We start from the raw sequence: 11,690 nt of genomic DNA, 5'->3' as shown, positions 1-11,690 counted from the left end.
TAGTGCCCAGGAGAGCCAAATGATGATGTCAGTTGGAAGATTTGTTTTAATGAATGAATAGACAGACAATAACCAATGCATGTATTTAAGAGCTTGACAGAACAAGCTATCATATCCAGCATTTGACATTGAACCAAATTGGCTCCACACTTGTACATCTGTGGTTATTTCACATCATATGACTCATATAGACCATAGCACTTCCTGATCAAAACACATAGAGTAGTTGAATGGATAAAAATGCCAGATGCAATTATATGTTGTCAAGAAGAGACTCACTTTTGATGTAAAGACACATATAGGCTGAAAGTGAAAGAGTGGAAAAGGATATTCAATGCAGATCATAACCAAAAGAAATCAGGATTAGCAATACGTACATCAAACCAAATAGACTTTAAGACAAAAACTATCGCAAGAGACAACAAAAGGACATTGTATAATAAAAGCGTCAATTCACTAAGAAAACACAGCAATTATAAAATGTATGCAACTAACTTTAGAGCACCCAAATATATGATGTAAATATTGGCAAAATTGAAGGGTAAAAAAGACTGTAACACAATAATAGTACATGTCAATACTCTTTTTTCAATAATGGATAGAATAACTAGTGAGATGATCAATAAGGAAATAGAAATCCTAAACAATAGTATAGACCAAATGGACCTATCATACACATATAGAACATTCCACTCAACAGCAGGAGAATATTTTTCTCAGATAACATTATGCTAAATTTAAAAAGCCAACCACAAAAGACAAATAATGCATGATTTCACATATATGAGTTATCTAATGTAATCAAACACACAGAAACAGAAGTAGAATGCTGGTTGCTAGGGCTTGGGGCAAGGGGTAATGAAGGATTGTACAATAGCTATAGCATTTCAGTCATACAATATGGAAAAGTTCTAGATATCTGTTGTACAACAATGTGCATATAGTTAACAATACTGTACTATAACTTAAGAGGGTAAATTTATGTTACGTGTTTTTTGATCAGAATAAAAAAAGAATTTGCTAGAGCATACTGATATATAGAAAGAAAGCCCAGAAAATTTCGTATTCTAGCTAATGCTTAAATCACATTCAATTAAAAATTTTGTCACATTGAAAATAATTATATCCTAAAACCTAGACATATTATTTCTAGATATTTATAGTGGATAGGTGGAATTTGATGAGATTGAGAAATAGAAATAAAAGAGAATAAACAAGTAAGGTAAGGAAACCTTGCATAGGCTGATGATGTAAATGGGCCATGAACCGAGGATGGAAGTGAACTTTGCAATGAAAGAGAGAGTGAGTGAGAGAGAGGGAATGAATTTGAAAGCAATGTAAAACACAATCAGTCCTGAGGCATACAATATAATAATTTTCCAAGTAAACACACTGTATCAAGCCCAAACTACTCCAAATATATATGGGTATTTTCCATTCCCTCAGTTTCAATAGCTCTCTTAGTACACTAATTTCTAGGGCTTCTCTAAGTACGTGAGTGAGAGCAGTGTTTACCAGGTCTTTGGTAATATTGCAAGGCAGTATCTGCTGGTCTCCACGGTAAATATTCCAACTAGATTATTTTTTCTAGATCTAGCCTAAAGCCAATAAGACTACTGATACTTTTTGGTAGCATTTAACAGAAGAGCTCGGTAAGTAGGTTTTCACTGTTACATGGAAGAGAAAAGAATACAGGCAAAACTAATATCCTATAATGTATTATACATAAGAAAAAATCATCCTCATTTTGTATAGCCTGGCCAAAAACTGACAGAATTAAAGTGAAAAATGTAAACATAAACATATGTTACAAATTAATTATAAAGATAAAATCAGAACATGGCTTATGTCTTTCTGGTTTGAGTAATGAACGATGCTTCTAGAATTATTTTTTTAAAGGTTGTCTAATCAATAGCCTCATTCATATGTTCTCTTTTAGCACTGATTTTTGAGTTGCCTAGTGTAAATGGAGAAGTCCTGATAATTTCCTATGTTTCTGGGTCAGTGACTTACTTTTTTCTGCAATGCACATTAGTTAAAATTATCCAAAGACATTTTTTATATAGTTCCAGATCAGTCAGACAGTTAAAGAAGTATGATGTGATTGGAAAGATTCCCCAATATACTGGTAAGTTTAAAAAGCAAATTCTTGAGGGATTTGCATCATATAGTTCCATTTTGGGGGTAAAAATATGTACTTATAGGTTCTTAAAATTCTTGGAAGTAAATAAAACAAAATACTAAAAATGGTTATATCTGAATTTTTTGGATTATATATAATTTGTAATCTTTTATGTAGTAACCTAGATTATTTATATAAAATATATTTCTTTTTAGAAAATAAAAGGCAAGACCTATGTTAGTCTAGCATTTTTGTATATATAGGATAGTATTGCTAAAAGGTTTTGTAATATATACCTTCAAGAATAACAATAGAGACTTCTGTAATTTCTTAAGACTAAAAATAATATGAGAAATAAACTATATATTTAAATGCATTATGTCCTTGTATGGGAAGTGGAGGTATCTGTCTTAAAGAATTTGCCCTGATATTCTGATCAGATATATAGTAACAAATTATTGCCTAGAAGGACATTATGTACATGAACAAAACTAGGGCTGACAGTTTGTTCAGTTTGTAGCAGTTTGGAGAGTTTTATTTCAAGAAAAATAAACTGGGTTTTTTTACATTTTTTAAAATTGTACTTTAAGTTCTGGGATACATGTACAGAATGTGCAGGTTTGTTACATAGGTATACATGCGCCATGGTGGTTTGCTGCACCCATCAACCTGTCATCTACATTAGGTATTTCTCCTAATGCTATCCCTCCCCTAGCCCCCCACCCCCTCTAACAGGTCCTGTTGTGTTATGTTCCCCTCCTCATGTCCATGTGTTCTCATTGTTCAACTCCCACTTATGAGTGAGAACAATGAGGTATTTGGTTTTCTGTTCCTGTGTTAGTTTGCTGAGAATGAAACTCAGATCCAATGTGGCTGAAGAAATAAACAAGCCCAAAGGTAGGGCAGACTTAGGGATTTATTGATAAAAAGGGACCAAGAAGGGCATCAAGAACCCAGATTCTTTCTATCCCTAGGCTATGCCATTCTTAATGGAAATTTTTTCCTCACATGGATTGGAGGATGGCTGCAGCAGCTCCAGGCATCATAGCCTGATACAACAGGGTCCAAAGGCATTATATTGTCCAGCCCTACTTGTGGCTCTTTCTTGGACGTGAAGGAAAACTTTCCAAGAAGTGGCCAGAAAATTTCTCCACATCTCATTTGCCCTTCTTAAACCACTCCAAGAGTGGGGGTGAGTACTGACAATATCTCTGAAATGTATTGCTTACATATGGGCCCTGTTTGAAAAATTTGGAAGCCACTGAGTTACAAGATGAGTTCTTCATGTTACTATTTTCAGTTAGGGGTATAGTCAACATTTCTGTACATATCTCCCTGGGTGCTTATGTTAGTAGTATTAAAACTGATAGGCAGATAGCTAATGCTGCTAATGCTAACAGAGCAATTGTAACAATTTACACTCCACTTACCATTGTATCAAGACTCTATTGCCTCCAATTTTTACAAACACTTGGTAAAACAAGACTTTTAAAATTTTAACCCACTTGCTGTATAATGATAACTATTGCAATTTTGTTTTCCTGGATACTAATGAATACAAGCATCTCATTTCCTTTATTAGCCATTTGTTTGTTTGGTCTTTCAGTTCTATGTTGTATTTCTTCAAAGCCTTTGACCATTTCTTTATTGAGATGATTTCTCCTTACTTATTTGTAAGTTCTTCTGTATTTTCTAGGTTCCATATGCCATATATATTCGTATATATGCATATTATCTTTGTATATTTTCTTTTTTTCTTTTTTTGAGACAGAGTCTTGCTCTGTCGACCAGGCTGGAGTGCAGTGGCGCGATCTCAGCTCACTGCCACCTCCACCTCCCGGGTTCAAGTAATTCTCCTGCCTTATCCACCCAAGTAACTGGGATTACAGGCATGCACCACCACACCCAGATAATGTTTGTGTTATTATTAGAGACGGGGTTTCATCATGTTGGCCAGGCTGGTCTTGAACTCCTGACCTCAAGTGACCCACCTGCCTAGGCCTCCCAAAGTGCTGGGATTGCAGGCATGAGCCACTGCACGTGGCCTATACATTTTCTTATACTATCTTATTTATTTTAATTTTAAAAATTCCAGTAAGTAAAATTCACTTTCTGAAATAGAGTTCTATGCATTTTTAAACATTTATAGTTTTTTGTAGCTACCACTACAGACACAACAGAGAACAATTCTAGTATCACAAAGAATTCCATCATGCTACCCTTTTGTGTTCAGACCCTTCTTCCACCTCTAACCCTGGTAAACTGCTGATATATTTCCTGTTTTTATATGTGTGCCTTTTCCAGAATGTCATATAAGTGGAATCATCTATAGACAACTTCTTTGGGTTTGGTTTCTTTCAGGCAACAGAATGTATTTGAGATTCATCCATGTTGTGTGTATCAATAATTCATTCTTTTAAATTGCTGAGTAGTATTCCATTGGATGGGTGTATCATGGTGGGTTGACCAATTCACTTGAAGGACATTTAGATTATTTTCAATATTGATGATTGCAAATAATGATCCTACAAATATTAATTTATAGGTTTGTGTGAACAATACCATATGTTTTCAATATTCTGGGATAAAGACCTAGAAGTGGAATTGCTGGATCATATAATAAGTGTATGTTTAACTTTTAAAGAAACTCTTATGATGTATTTTGACGAAAATAAGTTTATAAATGTGAATTTGAGAATCTTACCTATTGGTGTTATGTGTCTTGTTTAATAAATTATTTCATTCCCTTGAAAGAAGAGGGATATCATGGAGATATTCTGCTATATTATTATCTAAAATCTTTATAATTTTGCCCTTCTTGTATAGATAGTTAAGCCACCTGGAATTGAAGTACAAAACTTCAAGGCCACCATCTCTTTAAATGTTCTGGCAATACATTGGGCTAATGTTTTGGTTTTACTTTTTGGCTATTTTCCCTATAATAATAATGTTTCTGTCCAATGCAAAAACTATTTTAAAGGGAAAAGACAGAACAAATGGGACTGTGAATCTCACAATATTATTGTCATTGAATTGAATTGAGTTGAATTAGAAATTCTTACAAGTGATTTGTTTATTTCTTTGGTTTTGTGTAAATATAATGATAGCGGATACAGTTATATACCTTTCAAGATAGGCAACAGAAGCATGACATCTTCAATTTGTATCTTTCCCAAGAAAAAATAGCATTAATAAAATAGCACTAGAAAAATAAGAAAGTCAGCAGGAATAAAAAAGTATGAACTTGATTGAAATTTAACAAAATCTGAATTGAGATTTAACAACAGCATGGAAAGAAGTTACTTTATCATCACCCTTTAAAGAGTTATCCAGTGTGAGACTGGTTTACAGCAATAGAATCTTTCCTAGTATTTGTCATGGATTTTTTTTTCATGAAGCATTTTGCTGACTTTATACCTTAGTATACAAACAGGGAAATGTTAAATCTGCAGCTCTCTCCATGAAACATCTTGAGGGCCATTTCTGACATCTTTCCAATGGAATAAAATGCTTCTTATCTTGAACTTGTTTTTGGGATCTATACTGCTTTCTGAATACAGTCTTCATAGATTGAGTCTCTTCAATAAATGGTGTTGGGAAAATGGGGTATGCATATGCAGAAGAAAGAAATTAGACCCTTATCTCACACCATATTAAAAAATTAACTCAAAATTAATTAAAGCCTTAAATGTAAGGCTTTTACATAGGCAAGTATAGGGGAAATGCTTCAGGATATTTGTCTAGGAAATGACTTTTGGATATGTTCTCCAAAGCATAGGCAGCCCAAACAAAAATACACAAATAGGATTATAGCAAACTAAAATTCCGCAAAGCAAAGGAAGCAGTCAACAGAGTGAAAAGACAATCTATAGAATAGGAGAAAATGTTTGCAAGCTATACATCTGATAAGGGTTAATGTCTAAAGTATGTAAGGAGCTCAACTTAATATCAAGAAAAAAAATCACCTGATATTAAAATGGGCAAAAAACCTGAGTAGACATTTCTCAGAAGAAGACGTATAAATGACCAACAGATACATGCAAAAATATTCAGCATCACTAATCATCAGGGAAAACAAATCAAAACCACAAGATATCATCTGAGACCTGTTAGAATGGGCATTAAAAAAAGACAAAAGATAACAAATGTTGATGAAACTGTGGAATTAAGGGAACATTATTCGCCATTATGGAAAGCAGTGTGCAGGTTCCTCAAAAAATTAAAATAAAACTACTGTATAATCCAGTTCTCTCACTACGGGGTATGTATCCAAAGGAAATGAAATCAGTACGTTGAAGTGATATCTGCACTCCAATGTTTATTGCAGCACTATTCACAAAAGGATATGGAATCAGCCTGAAGTGTCCATCAGCAAATAAATAAAGTATGATATGTATACACAATGGAATACTATTAAGCCATAAATAAGAAGGAAATCCTGCTATTTAAAATAACATGGGTGAACCTAGAGGACATTATGTTAGGTGAAATAAGTCAGACATAGGAAGACAAACACCTCACAATTCACTCATATGTGGAATCTTAAAAAGTTGATCTCATAGAAATAGAGAGTAGGATGGTGGTTACCAGAGGCTGAGCTGTTGTGTGTTGGTGGGGAGAAGGGGCAGTTGGGGAGATGTTAGTCAACGGATACAAAATTATAGTTCAATAAAAGGAATAAGTTCACGGGATCTATTAAACAGCATGCGGACTAGAGTTAATTATGATATGGTGTATTCTTAAAATACATAATCACATCAGAGTGGATATTAAGTGTACTTACTACAAAAATGATTATTTGAGGTAATCCATATTTAATTAGCTAGATTTGGCTATTTCACTATGTATATATACTTCAAATCATTATGTTATATAAAACAAATACATAAAATTTTATCTAAATAAATAGATGAAATACATAAATAAGTTTGAAAAAAATTATTTCTCACTCTTCTAAAGGCTAGAAGTTCGAGGTCAATGTGCTAGCAGTTTCAGTGCTTGGTGAAGGTTTGGTCTTTGCTTTCTTTTTTTTTTCCAAAGTCTGTGAAATTTTATTTATACAAAAGAATAAAAATAGCTATTTAAAAATGATTGATTTAAACATATTTTTCCATTTTTCCTGTTCCTTGAACATGAATCTGCTTCCAACTCAGAAAGATTTAAGATAGGTAATTACTAAATACTTCCCTTGCAAAAAAACAAAGAGCCGAGTTTCCCATTTTACTTATGATAAACCAGATTATTTTCAGTTGTGAATATTGGGAACTGCATGAAAGAGATGATCAGATATGTCAGCAGGAAGGTATGAGCTGTACAAAGGCATTACAAAAAGACCCCAAAGAAAATAAGGTGATAAAACAAGAGAAAAATAAGAAAACACAAAGCAATATAAGAAAATGCCAGATATTTATAGCCTTCATCTGAAATGTAACTTGTGTTCTACTTTCAGCATAAAACAAAACCAGAGAACATTTCTTGATGCATATCACAGATGAAGCTGGTACCAGCCACTTTAGGGGGAGACATTCATCCTAAGAAGGGAGAAATGTACAGTTAGCAACTTCCTGGGATTATATATGTCTTGATCTTCCTGCAGTTCTGTTACTAAAAGTGACATAAAGTAAATGATCCAATGTATTATGGAAATGACTTGTTTGTCACCACATTTAGAACAAACTACTCAAAGTCACAGGCACTGGGTCTGGGAGAGCAGAGGTGGATGGCCACGAACTCAGGTGAAGGATGTTTATCTTTGTGAGGCCAGAGAAGGGAAGCAGGGCTCTACAGCCTGGAAACTTCTGCACTAATGTATCTTCTAATAGTCAGCTCATGGTTTTTTGTTTAACTTCAGATCAATCCTGTGTCGGTTTTTTATTCTTTCACTTTTTATGGCTGCTGTGGTGACTCCCTGAGGAAGTAGAGGAAGCAGCCTTCTGAGGTTTCATTCCCTGCACAGATCCACCCAGATCCTCAGGGTCCTCCTGGCTGGGCTCATTTTCCTGATTGTGGAAGTCTGGAGAATGTCACTTTCCATCCCACTTCTTGGCTCCCTCTTTCCTTCCTTCCTTCCTTTCTTTCTTTTTTTTGAAATTTCCACCTTTATTTTTCTTTCATGTGCATAGAAAATGGCAGCGAAGTGTCCTATGAACGAGGCAAGGAATGGGCATGGCACTGCAGTACCAGCCTGGACGTTGTGCTTCCAAAGTACACTATGCAAGGTGGAGACAAAGGGTGTCGCAGTTTGTTTTTAATCTCTCACAGTTCCTTGGGCTTCCCATTTGTTTTTGAAGTTGTCAGTTTCTTCAAATCTCTCTTCAAGTGACACACTGCATTACAAATGATGGCGCTTAACCAATGTGGCATTTCCATATTTACACCAACAAAAGAAATTTACAAGACATAATAGCATACAATCTTGACATTTAGTAATAGCAATAAAACATGGGCATCATTTTATTTTTTCTGTACAAACTATCAGAACATGACTTTATTTACATTAAAAAATCATCTTTAATTTGATTTGATCTACACATCCCCATTTCATTTCACCCATTTCTCAAACCTCTCATCACGTCACCCACACCTTCACCAGACTACAGAATCTACAAGTAATTAGATCTAACACCTAAATAGAGCTTAGAAAGTCCTCTCCCAAATGTTTCCTCACTTCCCTGATAATTCCTTAAAAAAGAAAAAAAATGCACTTCACTCTTTCCTTCCACGTCACTTTCACATTTCAATCACCAAATCAGCAAGATGGACTTTTCATCTCAATCCAAACAAGGTTAAAAAGAAAGAGTTCTTCTGTTGGGTGTCTTGATGCTGCAGCCATGAGTCTGGGGATCCTGGGTACTGTTCTGCTCTGTAAGAAGGTCGTTTAATGGAATAAAAGTCTACATAATTTGTGGTCGATTTCAGTCCATACTTGTTGACTAATCAGTAGAAGCTGGAAAGTGAACTCAGTCATCAAAATAAGGGTCTTCATAGCTATGAGGAGACTGCAAATACAATCTGTATGAATCAAAGTTATTTTGTTGGAGTTATCTTGACTATAATACAGCTGTTGATGCTGTAGCTGTCTATTTAGTTCTCTTGCTGGTGAGGAATATGAACTGATGTAAATTGGTGAAGGTTTGCTGGAGCCTGACTGAATGATGGGTGACATCTTTTGGTTGGTGGTAGACAAGGAAGGATGTGATTTGAATCAGTCTTGCTCCAATGTCGACACAGGTGTAATAAAATGGTTCTGATTACACCCATCCTTTTTATAAATGCTCCAGAGGTCCCGATATTGCCATAATGTATTCAAGACCTGGGCTACTGCCTTCACTACTTTCAGAGATGATCTGTCGCCCCTGCCTTTGGTTATGTTCACTAGTTTCTTTATGCCTCCCGAGTTGGCCAGGGCTTTGGCTTTCTCCATGTTTTTGCTGGTGACCTCGTGCAGAGCACAGCAGATGGCTGCATGGACTCATCAGACAAGATACTGGGGCCATTGCCACAGAGAAGCTGGTTGACCAGGTCTTGCATGGTGTATTTGCCTATGAGCTCCTTGTTGCGAACATCTAGTGTCATCTTCCTCAAGGCAGTTGCCATGGAAGAAACAACTCTATCGTTATCCATTCTCAGAAGTTCCACAAGGATGGGGAGCCCCTTTTATTTTCGGATGGCTGCCCAGATATATCCTGAAAACTTACAGTTGCCAGCAGAGAGGTTCTGGAGAGATCCGGCAGAGCCTTCCAAGGTGGCTGGGTTGGAACTTTCTGCTAAAAGAGTCAGATACAGCTTCACCACCGATGGGTGCTACAGCATCTCAGCCCCTTTGGGGGACTTCGACAGTGCTGGGATAGGACCGACTTCATCCTATTGATCTTCTTGTGGAGTCCTCTTTTTCTTTTTCTTTTTTCTTCCCCCAGCAGGTTGGCTCAGAGTCTTCGCTGGGAAACTTTTTCTAGTAAGTCATCCCATTCGTTCAGTCCCAGTAACTGGGCCTGGGGCACCTGCAGCTCCAGCCAATAGGACAGGTTCCTCAGGGTGCACACGCAATTCTCCATCTTGCTGTCGTAATCGGATGTGTTCATACACGTGTAGGTTACATGCAACAGCGAGTCCACCAGCCCCTCACAGGCCCGCATTTGCTTCCGAGCTTCTTACCCCACAGAGCTGAGGTTCCTCAGGCAACCTGTTGTACTACGCAGAACTAGTGAAGTCTGAAATTTAATTTTATGGCCATCATCAAAAGAAGAGTTATTCCATCCAGAATGTGGAACGATCACATTGTTTGTTAAAGTTGAGAGAACATCTCGAATAATTGTCATTTTTGCAGCATCACGTGAGGATAAATTCCAAAGAACTCCTGTAACAAGCTCCCTTATTTCTGCATCAATATTGATTTTCTCAACAGTCACAACAAGGCAGATATCTCACCAACATCCTTCATTGTTATTTTATTTTCACCTGTAGACTTGCCGAAAAAGAGATTTCGAAGGGCATCACAAGCATTCTTCTGAACTTCCAAAACTCTGTGGCCCAAAAGGTAAACCAGAAGCTTGATTCCCCATAACCTACACACCTTCATCTTCACGTTGTTGTCACCAAACCACAGGTGCTGCAGGTAGGCTGCTGCATTTGCCTGAACAGATGGGAACTGGTGCTGAAGGATGTGAATGACCTCAGGCAACTCAGGATCACGCCAGGCAAACTCGCTGGGGTCCTTCTGAATGCTGTCTATTGATGGGGATCTTGTGGTGCCATCATTAGCCGGCACTGCGTGCTGAAGCCTGTTATAATTACACTATTGCACTTGGTATTGTATGGGCCTGGAGGGCTCCGCATAGGTAGCTGTTGTATTCAGAGCATAATTATTTCTTTGGTATGTACGGGTACTTCATTGGCTGGACATCCTTTGTAGATTTCCAATACCTACTGCTGGCTCCCTCTTTTAAATGAGCTAGTCCTGAACTCCTGCCAATGCACTTAATGCAGCTGCTGAGGTAACTGAGGATTTACTGAAGAACCGCTTAGCTTCCTTAAACTTCTGGTTCCTTCTATCATTTTTGCTATAGGAGTTTTTTCGGTTGGTCAGATACCGATCCCAGTCAGGAGTAATATTGCCATACATCTGAGTGTCTTCCAGGTAGCTTCCCTCAAAAGCATAGATCTGTCACTCCAAGTTTGCCATTGTTTCCCATGAAGGCTATGCCCTTATGACTTACTCACCTCCTAAGGGCCACATCTCTTAATGCTTTCACATTGGCCACTGTATTTCAACACATGATTTTGGGGACACATTCAGACTATAGCATATCTATTCTTGCATTTCATATATCACTCTTGAGACTGAACATTCCACCATGCCTATAACTTAAGTGAAGGTTGAAATATGATGGCTGGTGGACTAGCTCTCTGAGAAACGTGCAGAGGATAAGAAATTACTCTATTTTTATCACTCTCTAGACCTAGGATCATTCTAAAATTGAATGGAAAATAGTTGGGTGACAACTATATTCCCCTTTCTAAAGAATTCTAAACATGTTTGAAGATAACTGGTTAGAAAACAAGACTAGAA

The 11,690-nt window shown here is 36.7% G+C and overlaps 2 pseudogenes; both read right to left on the bottom strand.

Moving 5' to 3' along the window:
- Positions 1 to 7,740: 7,740 nt before the first annotated feature.
- On the bottom strand, positions 7,741 to 8,178 carry MEAF6P1 (MYST/Esa1-associated factor 6 pseudogene 1; annotated as a pseudogene).
- Positions 9,663 to 11,050, bottom strand: PKP4P1 (plakophilin 4 pseudogene 1; annotated as a pseudogene).

The sequence above is a fragment of the Homo sapiens genome, chromosome 2, assembly GCF_000001405.40.
Source record: "Homo sapiens chromosome 2, GRCh38.p14 Primary Assembly".
Taxonomy (NCBI): Eukaryota; Metazoa; Chordata; class Mammalia; order Primates; family Hominidae; genus Homo; species Homo sapiens.
The sequence above is the reverse complement of the archived record's forward strand: the minus strand, read 5'-3'. Positions and strand labels throughout refer to the sequence as shown.